Raw genomic sequence first — 23,717 nt, forward strand, 5'->3', positions numbered from 1 at the left:
GTCTATTGTGACAGGTGTCAAGACTGTTGTAATAGAGAGGGAGATTAGGCTCAACTCCAAATACAGCAATGACAGCTGGGGATTTATAGCCAACAAGCAGAGTAATTAGAAAATTACTAACAAGAGACATCAAGTATAGGGGGATTCTTGCCAAACTGTTTAACAGGATTCTTGCTGAAGGAAAGCCATGGTGATCAGATATCAAGGGTGAGAAGATTCTCACTAAACTGAGCAGAATTCTTGTTACAGTTGGGCTATGTAGGTCCAGCAGGGGTGGGGTTGGGGAGAGCCAAAGCCAAGGTCTAGTTGAGAAGAGGGATCAAAGAAACCTGACTAAAGTTTGGTCAAGGATAGATCCTTGTCACTTGGCTTGCATTTGATAAATAATATAATTCTCCTCACCATAAAAACAAAACTTTTTTCTCCTCGCTTTGTTGCCCAGGCTAGAGTGCAGTGGCACAATCTCGACTCACTGCAACCTCTGCCTCCTGGACTCAAGCAATTCTCCTGCCTCAGCCTCCCAAGTAGCTGGAACTACAGGCACATGTTACCATGCCCAGCTGATTTTTCTATTTTTAGAAACGTGGAGTTTTGCTATGTTGCCAGGCAACACTTCGTGGTCTCAAACCCCTGACCTCAAGTAATCCGCCCAACTTAGCCTATCGAAGTGCTGGGATTATGGGCCTGAGCCGCCACACCCTGTCAAAATAGAAGTGTTTATAATGTTTGTAGTACAGGTGTCATCCAGGCATTTCTCTACCAATGTCTGAGCAGTGAGTCTGTACAGTTTATGGTTAAGAGCAGCAACTCTGAAACTAAATAGACTGGGTTCACATTTCAGTTCTGCCACTTACTAGCTGAATTACCAAGGAAAATGACTTAGCCTGACTCTCCCACAGATTCCTTGTCTGCAAAATAAGAATTGTCATAATACAAACCACAAAGGGGGACCTTAAGAGTAAATGAGCCAATATATAGGAAGAATCTGAACAGTGTCCCCTACATGGTGAGCCCTAGTGATTTTAACCATTATTATTTGTAAGCTTTTGATTTGCATACAGAACACAATTTCTTCAGTGGTTTTAATGAAAACATCTTATTCTGACCATATCATAATTGTATATCTTCTGCTGAACAGCACAAAGCACATTACATGTTTGTGAAAAATCTTCATCCAAGTTTTCTTTTTTTCCAATTCAGATCTCTTTCAAACTCTTTACTTCTTTATTGTGCATTTGTTATTTGAGATGCCTTAAGGATCTTGCCTTCTACCCTAAGTGGGATTTGAAGGCATTTTATCTTTTTCTGGAGAAAAAAAATTGCTGAGTTCTTCTGAAAGGCATTCTTTTGAAAACAATTTTTTCTATATTGTTCTATTGGCTTCTATTATTTATGTCCCTACTCCTTCATTTCATGTTTTACCCTGGGTGATTTCATGCCCACATGCATGCTTGCGCACCCTACTCAAAAGAGTTGATGATCACATGCAGGTTTTCTCTCCTTCTGGCCTTCTTGGTCTCTCCTCTCCCCTCATATTCAGAGTCCCAGGCCTGCCAGAGCCCAGCAATTCTCTTCTCCCTCTCCCCTCCAAGCACCCCATCAAACAAGATTGGAGGCAGTGCTCATGGACACAATCAGTGCTGAAGAGAGAAAGTTGACAAAGAATAATGGAAGCAGGGAAAAAGAAGTCATGCCACATAATGCATTTTAGCCAGTTGAAAAAGTTTATGGTGCATCCTGTAGTTCAGAAAAGTGCTTTGAAAGAAAGATTTTCATTCTTGCCAGCCCGACTTACCATGATCTTCCTTTAATAAACACACAACAAAGGGTCCTGTAGGAGAAACAGCTGAGGCTGAGCTCAGTCTGTGGATAAAACAAACAGTTCAGAGACTGTCAGCAGGTGAGCTTTGTTTTTGATGTGTTTATTCTCTGAAGTGCCTGAGCTGTCAGCAACCAGGGCCCTCAACCCAGACAGCTCCCCTGCCTACCTTCCCACAGTGTGGGGAAAGGCTATCCATAAAGCAGGGCCCTAAATGATCTTTAAGATAACTTAAAGACATACTGATGATTTTGTACAATAGCAAAATAAAATCAGGATGAATTACAAAGTTAAATGTTAAAAAATTGAGACAATAGGGTGTTTTGAAAACTGAACAGTCAACCAAGAAATCATAAAGGTGTAGATCGATAGATTTGATATATATAATTAAAGGGAAAAAATGTAGATGAAATTGACTAGAAAAACAAATGATTGTACCGCATTGACAAGCAAAGCACTAACATTTTTATTATTAAAGGAGTTTTCACATTTGAGCAAAAAATGATGAACACTAAAAGGTTAAAAAAAGCTGGCAATTCACAAAAAAATTTAATGACAAGTAAACATATGAAAAGCATTAAACTTCACTAAAAATTAAAGAGTATAAATTACTATAATAGATACATTAAAACTCATACATTTGGTGATAAACTTTTCTAAGACAATTTATATTGTTGGCAGGGTGTGAGAGAAAAGGAGCATTCTAATCGTTTGCTGGGGAGTGAAAATTAGAGGAACATCTTGAGAAAGCAATTTGGCAAACTGGAACAACATTCTAAAAAATGTTCTTATATTTTGATTCACATCTATTTATTTATCATGAAGAAAGCAAAGATGTGTTAAAACACACACACACAAGCATAAGGATTTTCATTTGAATTCTATTTGTAATAATAAAAAGTTGCAATCATGAATGTACAAGAAAAGAGGAAGTTAAAATAGCTATGTCTTAAATACAATGAAATATCATGGAAATATTATAAATCAAGTTTTCCCACCCAGTGTCAACAGCAAAATGATATCTTAACACTCAAGGAAAAATAAAATACCTCTCAAGTAGTTATGGAAACCTCAAGCTATTTTAACTCGATCAGTTAAAATTATCCAACTATGTCTTGCTGTTTTGATTCCAAATTTATAAAAACTGATTCAAACCTGTATTGGGTAGTTTTGTGTTGTTTTGCTGTTATAATTTGCTTCTAGGAAAATAATATCTTCAATTTGGAACATGGAATAAGTTGGACCCACTTGATATGTAATTTTTAATAAAATTATTAAATCGATAATTTTTAAAGTAAACTTATATTTTATGAAAATGTATTCAAAATATCTGATTTCCCCAAATGAGTGCTAGAAGAAAAAACAAGGTAAAAGCCCATATTTAGCAGTACAACCTTAGTTATGTTAAATATTTATTCAACAATTATTGAACATTCAACAAATAGTTATTGAGCTCCCATTGTATGCCAGGCACTCTTATAGGTACTGGGGATACAACGAACAAGGCCAGCACCAACTGAAATATCTGCCTTCATTGAGCCTGCAACCTAGAGAGAGAGCAAGACCCTTCTTAATAAACAAATGTGTAATATAAAAGAATTTTGGGAAGTGTTCTAGGGCAAAATAAGTCAGGGAAGAGAATTGGGGTGTATGCGGTAGGAGGAATGTGACTGAATTTTAAAACAAGTAATCAAAAATCACCTACGTGACACTTGGTCAAAGACCTAATTGTTGTATGGTTGTGAGAAAGTCAGCCTGTGGTCTGGGAAAAGCATTCCAGGCAGATGGAACGCCGCGTACACATGTCTTAGGTGAGAGTTTTCTGATGGGTTCTGTAAACGTATAGAGATTACTGCGGCTGAAGCTGAGTCAATGAAGGAAGAGGAATGGGCTCAGGTCCTTTGGAGTCCTGCAGCCCTTTGAAAGGAATTGTCCTTTTATTCTGAGTAAAATAGGAAAAGAAGATTCTGAGCTCAGTTGTGGCACAAACTCAGTGGCTTGCATTTCAAAGGAATCCCTCTGGCTTTTGGGTGAATATAAAATAAAGGGAGTCAAAATTGAATGTGTGCCGGGTGAACAAGGTAGGGTTCCAGGATGATTCCAAGGGTTTTGACCTGAACAACAAAATGATAAGAGTTCTCCATTCCTGAGGAGGAGCAGGTTCGGAAGGGACTTTTTTGTGAACATATTAATGTCCAAATTTTGGCACACGAACACATTAGATTTCCAAGTAGATGTGCTGAGTGGGTAGTTACAGGTATGCAGATGGACTTCAAGGAGGCGCAGTCTGAGCTAGAGACAGGCACAAAGTCAACATACATATGGTCTTAAAGTCTATTAACATAGATGAATTTACCAAAGGATGAGTGGAGAAGACAGGACGTCCACAACTAGGCCCTTGGCCAATCCATCCAAGAGGTCAGGAAGATGAGGAGGAAGCAAAGGGGCAGGAGCAAGAGCAGCAAGGGAAACAGAAGGAAAACCAGAGCTATCCCGGAAGGCAGGAAAAGAGCACTTCAAGAGGACAGAGTGATCAACTCTGCCAGGTAACATGACAGCTAAGAGTGAATTAGGTAGGTTTAACAATCAATATTTTTCCATGTAGATTTCTGTGTAGGCATGTAGGGTTGGGTGTGTTTGTGTTTGGGTGGATGTGTAAATGGAACGCCATAAAGAAAAACATTAATAGTGGTTGAACATGTATTGCACTCTAAGAAAAAAACTTGCTACAAGTAAAATATAAGGAAATCATTAGAAAATTTATGTAACAATGTACTATAAGTTATTTTCAGGAGCTTAGTAGATTTGATCATTGATGCCACTTTTCTTTTTAGTATACTTTAAGTTTTAGGGTACATGTGCAGAACGTGCAGGTTAGTTACGTATGTATACATGTGCCATGTTGGTGTGCTGCACCCAGTATCTCGTCATTTAGCATTAGGTATATCTCCAAATGCTATCCCTCCCCACTCCCCCCACCTCACAACAGGCCCCGGTGTGTGATGTTCCCCTTTGATTTACCATTCTTTTTACATTAAGGATGCTACTTTTTTATGAAGAAAAAATAATGGAAACAATAAAAGTTCTGGTGGTCCTTGAGGTAATATGAGTGCCTTTCACCATCCTTCCTTCATTAGATCACCTCATTTTGATGTAAATGATAAAACAAGTTACCATGTGAGATTTATCTCACAGAACCTCTGTGTCTGTGCCATTTGTGAAACAAGATTGTTAAGGGGATTGAATGAGTTACATTATGTATGCTTGTACAACAAGGCCTGGAACACTGTATGCCTTGCATAACTATCACCTGTCATAATTATTTGTTAAAAAGTTCTAAATAGCAAAACATTGAAAGAGAAGCCACTGACATATAAAGTTGAGAACATAGATTTTGAGGCTGAACATAATGAGTGTAAATCTCAGTTTTGCCACTTGCTCTCACCAAGACCTTGAGCAGATTATATAACCTCTGGCTTAATTTCCTTACGTGCAAAATGACCATAAAATATCTATTAGACTGGGAAGTTGGAATCTTTACAGTATGCAGTATGTCTGTGTCTTAGAAGGTACACAGTGCTCCCTATCTTTAGAATTTATATTTGAAAACTTGTTGTTATGACATAAATGCATTTCAGTTAGTTTTTTTCCCCTAGGTAACTATACAAGAAATTTAATACTGTTACGTGCTGTATCGGTCACTCTTCTCCAGAAAAACAAAAAGAATAAGAGAACAACAAAAGAATAAGATGTGTGTGTGTGTGTGTGTGTGTGTGTGTGTGTGTGTGTGTGTGTTTAGAGAGAAAGAGAAAGATTTATTTTAAGGAATTGGCTCACATGATCATGGAGGCTGGCAGGTCCAAAGTCTGCAGAGTGGGCATCTAGTGTGGAGACCCATGAAAGAGCCGATGTTGTGGTTCAAGTCCAAAGGCTGTCAGCTGGCAGCATTCCCTCTTGCTGCAGGAGATCAGTCTTTTATTCAACTTAGGCCTTCAACTGTTTGATGAGGCCCACCCACATATAAAGGGAAATCTGCTTTACTCAAAGGCCACTGATTTAAATATTCCTCTCACCCAAAAGCACCATCGCAGGGTACTGTGGTCACTGTGGCCCAAACATGTTGATGCATAAAATTAACTGTCACATCTTCTTTTTATCAGAAAGTAATATGAAAATAAAATATGGTCACTGAATCATAGATTTCCCTCAAGTCAGAAACCAGGGAGTCTGCCTATGCCCATTCTTCTCTCTAATTAGTCAACAAAGCCTGAACATGGTGCTCCTCAATAGATCTCAAATCCATCCCTGATCTCCAACTCTGTTGTCATCGTTTTAGTTAAATCTGCCCTTCTTTCTCATCTTTACTAATGCAATAGTGTCAGCTTATCAAACTGTAGGTTTCTTTCCTGTTAGACTCAAGCTTGAGTGTAGAGAGCTGTTCCACAAGAAAAACTGAGGGACTTGATGGGTGCAGTGGCTCACACCTGTAATCCCAGCACTTTGGGAGGCTGAGGCAGATGGATCACTTGAGGTCAGGAGTTCAAGACCAGCCTGGTCAACATGGTGAAACCCTGTCTCTACTAAAAATACAAAAAGTAGTTGAGTGTGGTTGTGGTGTACGATGACAGACTGGTCCCCAGGAAATAAGAGGGTTTGTTTTGGGAAAGGGATATTATTGTTTTTGTTCTAAACTATAAGTTCCTCACAAAGTTAGTTCAGCCTACATCCAGAAATGAACAAGGACAGCTTGGAGGTTAGAAGCAAGATAGAGTTGGTTAGATCAAATGTCTTTCACTGTCTCAGTTATAATTTTACAGTGGTGGTTTCACACCAAACACACACACACACACACACACACACACACACTCATCTGCTAATTTAGGTTCTGGTTCTGTTACTTAACTATTGGCTCTTGAGCAAGTAACATCACTGATCCTGCCTCATTTACAAAATAAGAATCATAATGATCGTAATACCTACCTGACAGAGTAAGAAAGGCTTCAATACAGGCAGCCATAAAGCAAAACATTAATAGTGGTTGAACATGTATTGCACTCTAAGAAAAAAACTTGCTACAAGTAAAATATAAGGAAATCATTAGAAAATTTATGTAAAAATGTACTATAAGTTATTTTCAGGAGCTTAGTAGATTTGATCATTGATGCCACTTGTCTTTTTAGTATACTTTAAGTTTTAGGGTACATGTGCAGAACCTTTCAATCAATACATAGGCCATTTAAAATTATTTGTTTGAAACTCAGTATTCAGGAAAGCAGCAGGATAAATTGAGAGGAGTGTGGGGAAGGTCTGCTGGTGGCAATGGGTGAGCGTAAGGGCTATGCCATCTTAGAAGACTTTATGATAAACACTTGCCACTCATGCATTTTAACATGATAAAATTGTGATCCAAATATAAAATTTTGTGCATTTAAAGGACTTGAACATTTAGGTGGACTATTGAGATTTCTGATTCTCCATAATATTTCTTTTTCCACCACTGCTAAACCTGACATTTACTTCAAAAAAAAAAAGGAGGAAAACTAATCAAATTCTGTATAAAAGGTCAACAAAATTCATTAAGATCTTCTGGTTTCAGATTTATACAGAATATCTAATGATTTCAACAAAAAAAAATGGTGTATCTACTACTTGAGGCCAGGAATTATCCTTTTGGGGTCTCTACTATGATTTAGACTGTCTCTTTTATTAGGCAGAATTCGGAAAAACTCTTATGGACATTGTCCTTTATGAAGGTAGTAAGAAAAGCAACACTGGTGTATGTGGCGGCAGGGTGTGTGTGGGGATGTGCATGGGTGTATGCACACACACAAGTATGTGTGGACATGCCTGCATGCATGCTTAGAAGAACCAATGTTGTTATGGTTCTGTGATCTATGTCTCTATGTTTCCATTAAGATGAGAAAGGCCAGCATAAAAGAGTGCAGGTTCTGCAAACAGCAGGCAGAGATACTAAACTAAGGGTGAAAGGAAATAAGATTTGTGACAGCATTTTGAGAAGCACAGGGTACTCTCCAAATGTAAGGAGGTGGTAGTATTGTGGTATTCTTATCACTGCTAGTATTTATAAATAACCAGAAGAAAGCAAACATATGTCTTTTATATTCAGAGACCAGTTGGTCAGGCACATATTTTTCTTACATTTCAGTGCATAATTAATGACATTATAAAAAGTCATTCTTAGTTAACAATTCTATTTAAATCCTGGGGATTGATTTATTTGCTACTTTTTACAATGAAAAAGATAACCAAATGGTCCTGTTTGTAGTTGTTAGATCCATTTTCAGTGACATTTTTGGATCTGCTGTTGGTGTTAAAAGGTCTTGCATACGTTTGTGGACTAAATGCAAAGAACTACATATGACTTTGTGAGTTAATCCAAACAAACTAAGTACACTATGTTACTTCATGAAGTAATTGTTTAATGACAAACTGAAGTTATTGTTCTCAAATAATCCTGGTATTTAGTAATTTATCTATAGACTGGCGTTCAGATGCTGTGAATGGTAATGAGAGAGATCACATGACGACCAGCTTTCCACAACTGTAGCAATTTGGCAGTTTTGCTCCCGCACCCCACCCCAACAACCCCAGGGTGGGACATTTGGCAAACTCTAGAGATTTTTTTTTTATTGTCGTAACTAATTGGGAGAGGTGCTGGTGGTGTCTAGTCTATAGCGGCTAGAGAATGCTAGTGACCATCCTATGCACATCCTAGACAGAAAAACCCACACAACAATAGCTAGCTAGTCAGATGTCCATAGTCCCTGGGCTAAGAAGCCCTGCTGTAAGCCAATGCTTCTCAAACTGTAGCTCATGGAGCAGCAGCCGGATCCCCAAAACCCAGTCCATGTTATGATGAGCTTACCGAAATGTAAATCAACTAGGTCACAGAGTAGTTCAGCTGATAGGTTTTATAATAAGGCTCTCAATGAAGGAAAGAGTGTATTGAATTACATCTTGATGAAAGCTCATTATCTCCTCGATGACTGACGCCCAGAGTACAACTGTTTTATCAAACATTCCCAGTCGCTCCCTTGGGTGGTCTCTGCTCACTCCCATAACGCGGCCCATGATTCTTCAGAGGATAAATATATCCCTAGACCCACAGCAGACCACTTTACATTGTCACAGAGTATTTTCTGAACGCTTAACCTTCTGTTCTGTACCGCATTAAGGAAAACAAAGATTTTAAGTGGGCTTTGACTAAAGTGTATGCACTTGTAAAATGCAAAAATCACAGCAGAATTTAAAAAGTGTACAAGTCAAAAATTATTTGAAAGAGAAGTAGCCATCGCTACTGGTTTAGTAAGTCTAAGTCCGCCTAAGTCTCACTATGGAAAAGACAATTTAGTTATTTTCTCTTTAGTCACCCATAATTGTTCTACAAATTCCTTGCATAGTTGGAGTTTATGTCATTTTTCATATGCTATGTATTTTCATATATTAAAATGTGGCTGATAAATATCTGTTGATATAATTGATTACAGAATCATAGTTTTAAGTCAGCACCAAATACAAAATTTTGTGGATGCCCCTATATATTAACACTGTTAAGAATTAAATTCCTGGGCCTCACACCTACCAGTTTTAAATATCAATAACCCATTATGTGAATATATCTCTAAGTTACAAAAAATTCAGTGTCATTTAATTTTCAGTAGCCAAAATAAAGCCTTAGCCAAATTAAGCCTTAGCCAATATACTTTATACTTTTAAACACAACTTCTGAAATACTCCAGTAAGTTTAACATTGGAATTATACCAACAAAAGGGCATCAGGCTAGAAAGAGTTTGCCCCTTAACACATTCTATGTAATCATTGCACCATGAGGAAAGCTATATTTGCTACACTTGACTCAAATTTGATCTTTATTAAACGGGACCAAAAGCTATTTCCCAGAGAATGGGCATCAAGTGGTCAATGTGCTAACGCAGTCCACATGAACTATAGCATATATTGGTGAAAATGAACAGTGAAAAGTTGTTAAGAATCAATAAAGATGGCAGATGAGCACCAATTGGTGGGCTGAAAAGAAAGCGGGGAAAAGGAATGCCTATTTTAGGGTTGATATACATTGGAAAATCCAGAATGAATGAAATACAATATACCAACTTGCTACTACAATTGCCAGCACTACTATGTGTATAGGATACATCAACACACAGATATTGGAAGAGAATATAAAAAGCCTTGGGAAGTAAAGGGTTTCTAAGCCATGAATAGAACTAATGCCATAAAGTGACTTACTAAATGGTATCCTGGTGACTTGAAAAATTAATACATTTTCCAAAAGTCTGAATGGACTCCCCAAAATATACTGAAAAACAGAAAAACCCTACGAGACTTTAAAGGATAAAGAAATCACAGCAAAGTCTCCTTTCAGAGATTAAGGGTGTGTGTTTATGTGTGTCTATGTATGTGTATAAATGTTCTACATTTTTCGTTCTAATGATTGATTTACCAGTTCAGTCACTCAGTTGTAAAAGCTTTTAAATTTATACAACTATAGTTTCAAAATTATAAATGTCAGCAACATAACTATAGTATAATATTAAGAATGTTTACTTACACTGGAAACTAGGTGGTAGAATGATTTGTTTTATATACATCTATTAAAGTTTTGGTTGGAAAAAATACATAATCTTTAGCAACTGAATAACTGCATTTCTATTGTGCAGATAATTCAGAAGAATCTACTTCATCGTTATGATGATTCATGACTTTAAAAGAGTGAAGATGTTAATATTTTGTGCTAAATATACATTTCCTGATTTATATCATGTCATATCATAATTTCAAAATGAAACAAATATACACAGTAATAAATAATATTTAACCTTTAAAACAGTCATCTGGGCCTGGTACAGTGGCTCATACCTGTAATCCCAGCACACTGGGAGGCCGAGGTGGGCAGATCACTGGAGACCAGGAGTTCAAGACCAGCGTGGGTAACACAGGGAGACCCTGTCTCTAAAAAAAAAATTAAAAAACATATGAGCCAGGTATGGTGGTGTGTGTCTGTGGTCCCAGCTACTTAGGAGGCTGAGGCAGGAGGATCACTTGAGCCTGGGAGGTTGAGGCTACAATAAGCCATGATCATGCCGCTGCACTCTAGCCTGGGTGACAGGGCAAGACCCCATCTCAAAAAAACAAAAAAAAAATCATCTGTAAATATGGAAAAACTGTCACATGTCAAAAGAATCCCATATTTGGTTTTGAAGTCAATATGCTAGGCAGACCCTGAGTGTTCAAAATGGTGCATCAGAATCAGAATCTCAGGATTTAGGAGTCAGTTTATTATTTTTTAAAATCAACTTTTAAAAAATAACAGCAATAGACCATCATCTTCCTATTGCTGCTGCAGATTCAAAGTTTTAGGAATAAGAGAATCTTCTTTAAAAGATAAATTTCTACACAATTAAGGCAATCACATATGCAAAGTGTTTGTAAAAACAACTCATTGAGTTGTTCATTTAGCAACTCAATGAAACACTCTCCAATTTATATTACATTTAAATTACAACATCACAATGGGCAAATGGCCAGACACCTTTCTTTCGAAAGACATCAAAACGAGTTACCCTTGTAGGTTAATTTTTGTGTAATTGCTTAATAATGTATACATTTAAGTTATAGTTGAGCACAGCTTAGAAAAGAAACTAGTAGCCAAATTAGCCCTTTCTACTTTCATAAAAACCAGACATACTCAAAATGAATCAGGCCTGTCTGCACACCCAAATCTCAGAAACAAGCATGAATTTTCAAAATGCACACATAGTAAAAAACATTTTAACTAAGGACAGAAAAACCCGAGTTTTAATCCTTACCCTACCATTTATTTAGCTGGCAACCAAGAACCAATTATAATACTCCTTTAAGCCTCAGTGCTGTCATTTGTAAAATGGAGAATAAAACACTTTTATAACTTTTTGATGGAGATAATTGAAGCAATGTATATAATGGATATATCCCTATAGACAAACATTTAAAAAAAAACACTGCTTTCTCCTCTACTTTCCTTATTGCTACTAGAACACATTCTTATAAAGATTTCACAACTTCTAAATGCAGGTAGAAAATTAGAATAGCATACTTGACTCAGGACGGGTGGTGTGGCTTAATGAGAGCGTTTGCCAAATCCTTAGATATAAGATATATTTTATGTAATCTATGATTACTACAACTGTTACCAGGAAGAGGTCTGGATCCAGACCCCAAGAGAGGGTTCTTGGGTCATGTGCAAGAAAGAATTAAGGGCGAGTCTACAAAGTGAAAGCAAGTTTATTAGGAAAGTAAAGGAATAAAAGAATGGCTACTCCACAGACAGAGCAGCCCCGAGGGCTGCTGGCTGCCCGTTTTTATGGTTATTTCTGATGATATGCTAAACAAGGGGTGGATTATTCATGCCTCCCCTTTTTAGACAATATTAGGTAACTTCCTGACGTTGTCATGGCATTTGTAAACTGTCATGGCGCTGATGGGAGTGCAGTAGTGAGGACGACCGGAGGTCACTCTCCTGTCCATCTTGGTTTTGCTGAGTTTTGGCCGGCTTCTTTACTGCAACCTAAATATAGGTCTTTATGACCTATATTTTGTGCTGACCTCGTATCTCATCTTGTGACTTATAATGCCTTAACCATCTGGAAATGCAGCTCCGTAGGTTTCAGTCTCATTTGTTACAGGGCTTTTCCTTAGTTCAGCTAATGACGGGGTCCTTGTCCGTCCAATGGCCATGAAAATTTAGGCTCACAGACAGTTTAAAGGGTGAGTAAAGCAGGGTTTTATTGAGTGAAAAGGGAATAAAAAGGGGAAACAGGGATCCTCCGCAAGGCCAGAGTCCCCTGCTAGAGTGCTTCCCGCCCGCCATTCAAATCCCACGTTCCACACAGGAAGAGGAGGGGCCAGGCTCCTCACTGCTGCAAACATCCTGAACTTCCCGAGGCTCCACCTCAGTGGGCAAGCTAGTTAGTTTCTCCAGGTTCCCCCCTCCCACCTGGTTGTCTCAGTTTTACCCAGCTCCTATTCAAGATGGAGTTGCTCTGGTTCACGCATCTCTGACACAAATATGCAGAATTTGTCCACAAGGATTTTTCCCCTGGAACACCAGAATAACATTGCAAATGAAAAACTTCCTCTAAATCAATATAAACAAAAAATTAAAAGGCTGACTATATTAATTTTTTAATCAAACTAATTAGGGATGTAGACAGCCCTGTAGGATCTGAGTGGCCTTATTCAATGCATTACTCTTTAGTAGTAAAGAATCAGAAAATTATTTTACCTCTCACTGTTAGCCAATGTCAATTAAAATATTACCTCCACTTATTCTACCTTTCTTATCTAAAGAAATTATTTGTGTGTTTGTCTTTTTGTTTTATCCTTTGGGAGAACCAAGAGTCAGCCTTTTAAGAAATCAGCTTGGTGCTATACTTTTCATGGTTGATTCCTCTTAATAGAATTAGAATTATCAGGTATCTTATGCTTTAAATGTAGCATGTCACCATAGAAATGGCAGAAGAAAATATTAAGTATTTCTCCTTCTTTCTGTCTCTATGTTCGGGAACTATAAAAATGTATTCAGTAATAGAAGTGCATAAAAAGGATGATAAGATGGTTTGAAAAACAGAAGGATGCTTCTAAATTGCTTTGTGAATCTAAAATGTTATGGCATAAATGTCACTTATTAGTCAATAATAACATTTGAAGAGATTCTAACCCAAGATAGTCATGGATTTTATTTTCAGCACATCTTTCTTTAACATTTATTCCACAATGATAACCCTTGGAAACCAAATACTTGGAAGAAAAGGCAAGGGTAAAGAGAAGGGGGCAGAAAATAAAAGAGGAAGAGAATATCTACAAAGGTATTTAATCCTTTGAAACAACTTCTTCTTAGCATGAATACCAAGAAAGAATAAACAAACTTTCTTATGTATTAAAATTAGAGTTTCTTTAAAATTGCAGAAATATTAATATAGAAAGGAAGTGTTTCAAGTTTTAAAAAACATAGGGAAACTATCAGATGATTTCAATCTTCAGCTTTCTTAAAGTCTTCCTTAGGGAAAGACCATACCAGGTATCAATAGAGTTGGTTACAGCTATGCCATAATTTGTGTGTATGTGACTGGGCATGACAGAATCATTAAGGCCTAACAATTCTAGGGCACATTTAACAGTGGGTTGTCCTGTATTCTTTGTCAGCTCAAATGAATGCTGTGAGTAGACAAACACATTAAATGACTGTCATTAGATTCATCTAAATCAATACTTTATGTGGTCTTTTAGATGCAGGTGCACCAAACAGCACTCTCTCTCTACTTCTCGTTATGTCTAATCAAGCACTGCATATGCAGTGCAGCTAGAGTGGTAGGGATAATGAACTTGTGTTAAGCATTTTTCCAAGACTCCACTGCCAGCATCATTAGGGCTTTGCTAAATAGAAGAATTTTGTTGCTTAGTAACACAAATATTGCAATGGAGGTGGCGGAAGGCTTTTTTTTTTTTTCCCAAAATCGTGACTCCCTAATTTACTTTCAGTCCTGCACGAACAGAGTTCTGATTAATGATGTGGCTCCTTTCTGTCAATGTGATCAGTCTATCTTTTGTGTACCCAGCAATGTACAAACCAAACCCCAGTTGTGTTAGAAATCTTTGTCTTTAATAGATTCAACTCTCTTATGTTTTTATCAGCCTCACCACTAAAATTAAAAAGCAGTATCCTCACAATACTCTAGCCCAGGTTTAATTGTATAGAAATATACTCTAAATGGGGGTTCCATTTCTTAAGTGAAACTTGTATGCAATCTGAAATAAATAAATATGACATGTACATATGACAAATACATGGTGATAACAAAGTAACACCCCTTCTAAGAATAAGCTTTATAAAGCATTGATAAAGTTGGACAAATCTTTAGAATATTTTTTACATTTTAAAAATAATCACTCTAATGTGTTCTTTGACTCCACTGAGACACAAATCCACTTTCATAAAATAGCTTGAGTGAGTCTCCCTCTCTCTTTCTCTACCTCCCTCTCTCTTTTTCTCTCAGGAACATTTTGATTTTTTAAAATGCATGTGAATATACACAGTAAAATGCAAATGAAAATATAAGAAAAGATCAGAAAACATATTGAAAAATGAAAAAAATAATTTTACCTACATGTACCATACCATAAGTGAACTCTAAAATTGGCTCTAGCCTTCTGGTCAACCAAGGCAAAAAGGAAACAGTATGCCTTGAACAAATCTTTTGAATAAATATATTCTTTTGAATTTGTGAATGAATACAAACTTTTCCCAGAGCTAACATTAAGGAGAAATTTAGCAACATGTTGGAGAGTCAGTTTCTGCATAAGTTTTCTATTGCTGCCATAACAAATTATCATATGCTTTGTGGCTTAAAACAGTACAATTTTATTATCTTCCAGTTCTGTAGGTTAGAAATCCAACATGGGTCTCACTGGGCTAAAATGAGGGTGTTGGCAGGACTATGTCACTTGTGGAGGCTTAGGAGGATAATCCATTTTCTTGACTTTTCTAACATCAAGAGGGTGCCCACGTTCTTTGACTCATGTATATCAGCCTCCATTTCAAACCCAACTAAGTTGAATTTCTCCAACCACTCTTCCATAGTCACAGTTCTCTCTCTAAAGGATCTGCGTGGTTAGGTTGGGACTACCCAGATAATCCAGGATTATGTCTCCATCTCAATGTCCTTAATTTTAATACTGTAAAGTAACATATTCACTGGTGCTAGAGATGAGAATGTGGACATCTTTTGGGGGGCCAATATTCTACTAACCACAGTATGATATAATGAAAAAGAGGACCTCTATTGTCAGACCTGAATTTGAATACTGCCTCTCACAATTACTAGCCTTGTGGCCTTCCCATACTTATTTAACCTCATGGGTTTCCATTTCCTCATCTAATCATAGGAAATTATAATATGGGATCTAAGATCTTGTGGAAAGGGATATGTCAAGTACTTAGCACAGAGCTCAATACACCATAGTTACTATTGTTTTAGTTGATCTTTATCTTTTTTTATACTGTCCTAGCACACTTTTTTTTTCTGATTACTTAGTTTGACAGCAAGATAAAACTTTTATAGTGCCTTGAAGAATGAATGGCTAATGTGTTGCATCAACTCTTTCTCTTAAATCCCCATTTCCTCAACCATATTTTTTGGCAGATGCCAAGTAACAATCAATTAAGTTTCAGCTCCCTGGTAGAAATCCAATGTGTAGGTATTATGTATTATTGATAGTAGAAAAATCCATTCACTTTAGGTATCAAAGAGTGAAGTGGTGGTTTAATATTCTTTTTGTGAAAAATAAGTGGCCTAACAAATTTTCTTCCAGAAAAAGAAATATATTTTTGAGCCACAAAAGTACCTCTGTACAGGTTCACTGATATGATATATCAGTGAACACGAGAGATTTATAGGGATAATAATCGTACTTACTTCATAAGGTTGTTGTGAGGCTTTCTCAGCAAAGCTCTGGGTCTGGCAAAATGTCAGGAAACCATGTGAAACACTGGAAAGATAGGTTGGCCTTGGTAAAGATCATAAGTCACCATGTGGGAGCAGTGTGATATCTTTCCAAAAGAGTGAACAGAACCCTTACTAATTCCCCAGTCCTGTATATTATTGCTCAAACCTGCGTCACCCTATTAAATCAATCACTTTTGATGCTATTTAGAAATGATTCTAGATTTCAATCCTTCTTCTCAACTTCTCCCACCCACATCATCAGTCCTTTATTTCAAGCCATTAGTCTATTATACAAGATATCATTTGGAATTTATTCAAACCTAAGCAACACAAAATCCATCCTATAGTAGCTTAAACAAGATACGCTTTTTCTCACGTAACATAAAATCTGGAAGTAAGGAAACTCAGGACTAGTGAGCAGTCGATGATTATCAAAGACCCAGAGTCACCCATCATGAATGACAACACCTTTGTGAAGCATCTCTGAATCAATTAGTTGGGCTCTCTCCCTGTGTTCAACTTTGTATATTAGCCTTTGCACAACTGTCTTGTGCTTTTTCTGTTTCCAAGTGTCTCCCACCTCTGCAGTCTGAGATTGCTTAAATTAAGCCTTCCTATGCTCTTCCTGACACACAGCAAGACCTCAATACATTTGTATAAAAATTAATTAAAATGAGTGAATTAAGAAGGGAAGTTATTGAAGTGGTTAGCCAAGTACTAAAGAATCAGTTTTTACGTCAAAATATGGCAATAGACCCAAAGTTTGGGGAAAAAATAGAAATGATTCAGAAACCTGAGAAAGAGAAAAAGAAATAAAAGGTGAAAAGCTCAAGGAATCTGGGATTCAAGAATCAAAATGTGAAATCCAGGAATCTGGGCACCAAGAAGAAGAGCAAGAAAGGAGCTTGAACATCATCAGGGTGCTAACAAGATATCACCTGGGCTCTCCTTCTTCCAGGACACCCAGACATGATTTCACACAATTTTTCACATGCAATGGAAGTCTTCGTCTCCCCCAACAGCCAAAATTTTCTGGGTTTTTTTCAAGTATTTTTCCCCTGTCTCCGTGCTTCTGTTAGTACTGAATTAGTTTGGGTCATGAATTATTTCTCTATTCCATATAGCATTTTAGGGGTAATTCTCATCTCCTACCTTAGTTCTTTGGAAAAATCCATTTAACACAACATTTGCATGTATAGGAGACACTACAGAATATCTATGAGGATTAATGAGGATTTTAATTATAAACATTAATAAAAGCAACTTCCAACTGAATATTACATAGTCCTAGTACTAAGTATTTTGGCTCTCCGTGCCACCCCCAAACTTTTTCACCTTCTACTGTACTCAGGCTCCACACATTCTTCTAGTTTTAGGAATGCAGAATTTCTCAGAGCATGTCAGGAAAAATATTACTCCTAAACTTAGCTTTGAGTCCACTGTGCTTATCTAGATCAAATAAGGATCTTCTTCTCAACAGATATAAGGGGTTGTAATATAACTGGAGAGACTCTTTATCAAAGATAATCAAAATTATAAACAGTATAAATGTTCCTAATTAGGCCAAAACGTTGAGAGACTATATTCCTAACTTAAGATAAAAATTGGGTTGAAAATATTGTCAAAAGTTAGAATTAGGTGTAGAAGGGTTAGAGATAGGCTTAGAGTTTCTTGACAAATGTTTAACAATCTTGCGTTCTGCTTTAAAGAGGTCTGGATTTGGTTAATGAATGATAAACAGTCATTTCCTCATCTGTGAAAAAAATTATTCATTCTGCTAATATTTGTCATGCTTCTATGATGTGCCACGTAATGTTCTAAGCTTGTAGATATATCAGTGAACAAGAGAGATAAAATACGTACTCTGATAGAAGTTAGAGGTTTATAGGGATAATAATGGTACTTATTTCATAAGGTTGTTGTGAGGATTAAATTATAAAATGTATGAAGCCCCCTTAGAACACTGCCTGGAATGTTGTAGAAGTTTCAATGATTATAATTGAGGCAGCGTTCCTTCCGCGGGGGCACTAGCTGCGGGGAGTCTGTTCCTTCAGAGCCCTGATTCAGCGATGGATGAATAAACGTACACTGACACACAGATATTCTGCTCTGCCAGTCCCGCTGAGGGTCCCAGTCGCTTACAGGCTTCCTGCTGAGCCCTGTAAACAGTTGCCACTGGGCCCTGATCAGCTAGCGAGGCTCTCGCCATTTATTCAGTGACTAATTAACAAAAGTTGTGAGTAAACACCACTAGAAGGTAAGGATCAAAGGCCAGGTTCCGAGGCCTAAAGCAAACATCATTTGCAGGTAATAAACTTCTGCCGACCCCCGAGTAGGAGGCAGTAAAGTACCCGCGGTAGGACAAAGGTCAGTCTTAAGCCAATATAAGTAAGCATGTTAGTAAGAGCAACTTCCCACATTCCTTTGTACTTGCACCCTAATCTTTCTGGCTCCTGCAAGGAGAGCTTGGCTGCCTTCAGCCAAGCAATCTGAAGCTATGCAAACTCTCAGATCTTCCAAGAGAGTTTTTGGCTATTACTATAACTATCTTAATATTTTTCCCACCAGCCTGATTGAACCCCAACCTATAATCACAATTATTATAAGATGATTATACTCTGATGAGAACACTTGATCAAAGTACAGTGATGAAGAATAGGAAAGTTCTTGACACATAGGGATGAAAATAATGGAAGCTTATCATGATCCATCCAATTCAACACATATTGATTGAGAGCCTATCATATATCAGATAGTGTTCTAGGAGCTTGAAATACAGAAATGATCAAAAAGAAGGAACTCAGAAGTTGTCAGAACATGTTTCTTACCTGGTGTATGAGGTCCCTATTCTCTCTCTAATAGTCCCTGCTTCTGTGAGCTTAACCACCATTTCAAGTGATCAAATGTCAGGTCATCTTCATTAATGATTATTGTTAAGGATCTCTGTGAAAATAGATTAACTTTCAGGAATCAAATATAAGTGACTCTCAAAGGCGAAAGACATCCCACTGGCATTCAGATTAAAAACTTAATAAACTGGAAAACTATAAAATGTGTAAATGAGGTTAAAAGTATTTAAATAACAATGAATATTTTTCTACCTTAATATTAAAGTTAATAAAATTGATAGTAAAATTCTTTTCTCTCAGTTGTCATTTTGTGTCAACACAATTTATGACTTGACCCAAGCTCCTTGTGTGCCCATAGAAAAACCTGGCCACTCTACTGTTTTAAGAAATAACGCTGTAGTCATCCAGAAGTCTTACCTCTCTAAATTCATCTGCAGAAAGTCATATACTTTACACCACACAACTTTCTCCCATTCTAGTCTCATTTTTTCAAGAGCTGCCAAATCTAAAGGAAGGATAATTACTCACAAACTATAAACGAATTCAGTAAATAATCATAGAAAAATGCTCAGATTCACTAATGAGCAAATAAATTCAAATTAAAACAATGAGGCATGAGATATGTATTTAATCTAATAAATTAGCCAAACAAATCCTGTTTTTATAAAGATAATTCCCAATACTATCAAGAAAGCAGGAAAATTGGTAATCCCATATTGCTGATGTCAGTGTTAATTGGCCTTTAAGGAATAAATCTAACAAAGTGTGTCACATGCTATTAATTTTTTCATATGTTTTGAACAAGTAACTCAATTTGTTGTGTTGTATCCTAATTTTGAACAGAAGCATATGCATGAAGATGTTATTAACACCATTATGTGTATTAATAAGAACAGAAATAATTTAAATGTCAAACAATAAGAAAACTCTTAATTCTAGCACATTATTTAAGCATTAAAATGTTTTTAAATATTTTTCTTTTTAATATTTAAATTATTTTAATATTAAAAATATTTTTCTTCTTTTTATTGTTTTTTTATTGAGGTAAAAAATACCATCTTTGCTATTGTTTTCTTTTTTCTTTTTGAGACAGAGTCTCGCTGTATCACCCAGGCTGGAGTGCAGTGGCGGGATCTCAGCTCACTGCAACCTCCGCCTCCTGGGTTCAAGCGATTCTCCTGCCTCAGCCTCCCGACTAGCTGGGACTATAGGCACCTGCCACCACGCCTGGCTAATTTTTTGTATCTTTAGTAGAGATGGGGTTTCACTGTGTTGGCCAGGATGGTCTTGATTTCCTGACCTTGGCCTCCCAAAGTGCTGGGATTACAGGCGTCAGCCACCAAGCCCGGCCCAATCTTTACTATTTTTATGTGTACAATTCAGTGGTAATAAATACATTTATATCCTTCTTCCTTTTCTCTTATATTACTCCATTTTACCTTCCTGGCCTCCGATAACCACCAGTCTACTGTCAATCTTCATGAGATCCACTTTTTTTAGTTCTCACATAGGAGTGAGAATATGCAATGTTTGCCTTTTTGTGTTTGGCTTATTTCACTTACCATAATAGGCTCCAGTTCCATCCACATTGCTGAAAAAGACAGGATTTCATGCTTTGTTATGGCTGAATTATATTTCATTGTATATGTACATATACAATGAAATATATATGTACATATACAATGAAATATATATGTGTGTATATATATTACATTTTCTTTATCCATTCATCTACTGATGGGCACTTAGGTTGATTCCATATTTTGGCTATTGTGAATAGTGATTTGGGTATTGTGAATATCATAATATTTGGGTTTTATGAATAGTGCTGCAATAAACATGGAAGTGCAAATATCTCTTTGATATACTGATTACCTTTCTCTCAGATATATACACCGTAGTAGAATTGCTAGACAATATGAAAGTTCTACTTGTAGGTTTTTGAGGAGATTCCATAATGTCCTCCAAGTGGCTATACTAATTTACATTCCCACTTAGCGTATGAAGGTTGCCCTTTCTCCACATCCTTGCCAACATCTGTTGTTGCCTGTCTTTTTGATACAAGCCATTTTAACTGGGGTGAGATATCTCATTGTGGTTTTGATTTGCATATCTCTGATGATTGAAGATGATGAGCATTTTTTCATACACCTGTTGGCCATTTGTATGTCTTCTTTAGGGAAATGTCTATTGAGATCCTTTGCCTATTTTTAATTTGATTATTTGGGTTTTTCCATTATTGAGTTGTTCGAGCTCCTTATATATTATATATTCTGGTTATTAATCCCCTTTCAGATGGATAGTTTGCAAATATTTTCTCCTATTCTGCAGGTTGTCTATTCAGTTTTATTGATTGTTTCCTTTGTAGTTCAGAAGCTTTTTAGCTTTATGTAATCCCATTTGTCTATTTTTTCTTGGTCGCCTGTGCTTTTGAGGTCTTACACAAAAAAATCTTTTCTCAAATAAATGTCCTAGAGCATTTTCCTAAAGTTTTCTTCTAGTAGTTTCATAGTTTCTGGTCTTAGATTCAAGTTTTTAATCCATTTTGATTTAATTTTTATGTAGGGTAAGAGATAGGGATCTAGCTTTATTCTTCTACATATAGATAGTTACCCAGTTTTCCCAGCACCACTTATTGAAAAGACTGTTCTTTCCTCATTGTAAGTTTTTGGTGCCTAAGTTGAAGATAAGCAGGCTGTAAGTGCATGGATTTATATCTGGATTCTCTATTCTGTTCCATTGGTCCCTGTGTCTATTTTTATGTGAGTACCATGCTGTTTTTATTACTATAGCTTTAGAATGAATTTTGAAGTCAGGTAGTATGAGGCGACCAACTTTGTTAATTTTGCACAGGATTGCTTTGGCTATTAAGGGTCTTTAGTGGTTCCATATAAACTTTAGAATTTTTTCTATTTCTGTGCAGAATGTCATTGGTATTTTGATAGGATTGCATTGAATATGTAAATTACTTTGGGTGGTATTGTCATCTTATCAATATTAATTGTTCCAATCCATGAGCATAGACTATCTTTCTGTTTTTTTGGTGTCCTCTTCAATTTCTTTTATCAGTATTTTGTAGTTTTCCTTGTATAGGTCTTTTACTTCTTTGGTTAGATTGGTTCCTAAGCATTTTATATTTTTTGTAGCTATTGTCAATGGAATTACTTTCATGATTTCTTTTTCAGATTGTTTGCTGTTGCCATATATAAATGCTACTGATTTTTATATGTTGATTTTGTATCCTGAAACTACTGAATTCTTTTATCAGTTCTAACAGTTTTTTGATGGAGTCTTTCGATTTTTCTAAATGTAAGAGTGTGTTTTTTGCTAACAAAGCTAATTAGACTTCCTCCTTTCCAATTTGAATGTTCTTTATTTCTTTCTCTTTCCCAATTGTTCTGGCCAGGACTTCCAGTATTGTGTTGAATAAAATCAGTGAAAGTGGGAATCCTTGTCTTGTTCCAAGTCTTTAGAGGATAGGTCTTCCATGTTTCTCCATTCAGTGCAGTGTTAGTCATGGGTTTGTCTTAGATGGCCTTTATTATTTTGTGATATGTTCCTACTGTACACATTTTGATAAGGGTTTTTTAATAAAGGGATGCTGAATTTTATTAAATGCTTTTGAGGCATCTGTTGAAATAATCATATGGTTTTGTTCATTCTGTTGATGTGATGTAACACATTTATTAATTTGCATATGTTGAAACATTGTCTTACCCCTAGGATGAATTTCACTTGATCATGGTGAACGATCTTTTTAGTGTTGTTGCATTTGGTTTGCTGGTATTTTGCTGGGGATTTTTGCAGTTATGTTCTTCAGCGATATTGGCCTGTAGTTTTATTTTCTTGTAGCATCCTTGTCTGGTTTTGGTATTAGGCTAATGCTGGTCTTGTAGAATGACTTGGGAAGTATTCCCTCCTCTTCAAATTTTTGTAAGAGTTTGAATAGGATTGGGCTGGGCACAGTGGCTCCTGCCTGTAATCCCAGCACTTTGGGAGGCCGAGGCGGGCGGATCACGAGGTCAGGAGATCGAGACCATCCTGGCTAACATGGTGAAACCTTGTTTCTACTAAAAATACAAAAATTTAGCCAGGCATGGTGGTATGCACCTGTACTCCCAGCTACTTGGGAGGCTGAGGCAGGAGAATCACTTGAACCCAAGAGGTGGAGGTTGTAGTAAGCCGAGATCGCACCACTGCACTCCAGCCTGGGCTACAGAGCAAGACTCCATCTCCAAAAAAAAAAAAAAAAGAGTTTGAGAGTTTGAGTAGGATTGATATTAGTTCTTCTTTAAATATATGGTATAATTCAACAGGGAATCCATCAGATTCTGGGCTTTTATTTGATGGGAGACTCTTTATTACAGCTTTGATCTAATTACTCATTTTTTGTTTGTTTTGTTAAGGTTTCCTATTTCCTGGTGATTCAATCTTGGTAGATTGTATGTGTCCAGGATTTTATCCATTTCTTCTAGTTTTTTCATTGTGTTGGCATGTAGTTGTTCATGATAATCTGTAATGATTCT

At 36.7% G+C, this 23,717-nt stretch overlaps 1 protein-coding gene and 1 long non-coding RNA gene across 9 annotated transcripts in view, besides 1 other annotated feature; one reads left to right on the forward strand and one right to left on the reverse strand.

The window, feature by feature from the left end:
* Nucleotides 1-19,225, reverse strand: part of GALNTL6-AS1 (GALNTL6 antisense RNA 1) — a 96,947-nt gene extending 77,722 nt beyond the window's left edge. Inside the window, exon 1 of the long non-coding RNA NR_125894.1 lies at nt 19,171-19,225. This is a non-coding gene — a long non-coding RNA (GALNTL6 antisense RNA 1). The remainder of the gene's footprint in view (nt 1-19,170) is intronic.
* The window catches only part of GALNTL6 (polypeptide N-acetylgalactosaminyltransferase like 6), a 1,228,156-nt gene that overhangs the window by 894,250 nt on the left and 310,189 nt on the right, over nt 1-23,717 (forward strand). The window lies entirely within an intron of this gene.
* Nucleotides 1,468-2,206: an enhancer, noted in NCBI's record as "OCT4-NANOG hESC enhancer chr4:173630272-173631010 (GRCh37/hg19 assembly coordinates)". NCBI's record gives its function as "activates a minimal SCP1, AML or CMV promoter by ChIP-STARR-seq in naive H9 embryonic stem cells {active_cell/tissue: H9 hESC(naive)}" and the evidence as "EXISTENCE:reporter gene assay evidence [ECO:0000049][PMID:30033119]".

The sequence above is a fragment of the Homo sapiens genome, chromosome 4, assembly GCF_000001405.40.
Source record: "Homo sapiens chromosome 4, GRCh38.p14 Primary Assembly".
Classification (NCBI taxonomy): Eukaryota; Metazoa; Chordata; class Mammalia; order Primates; family Hominidae; genus Homo; species Homo sapiens.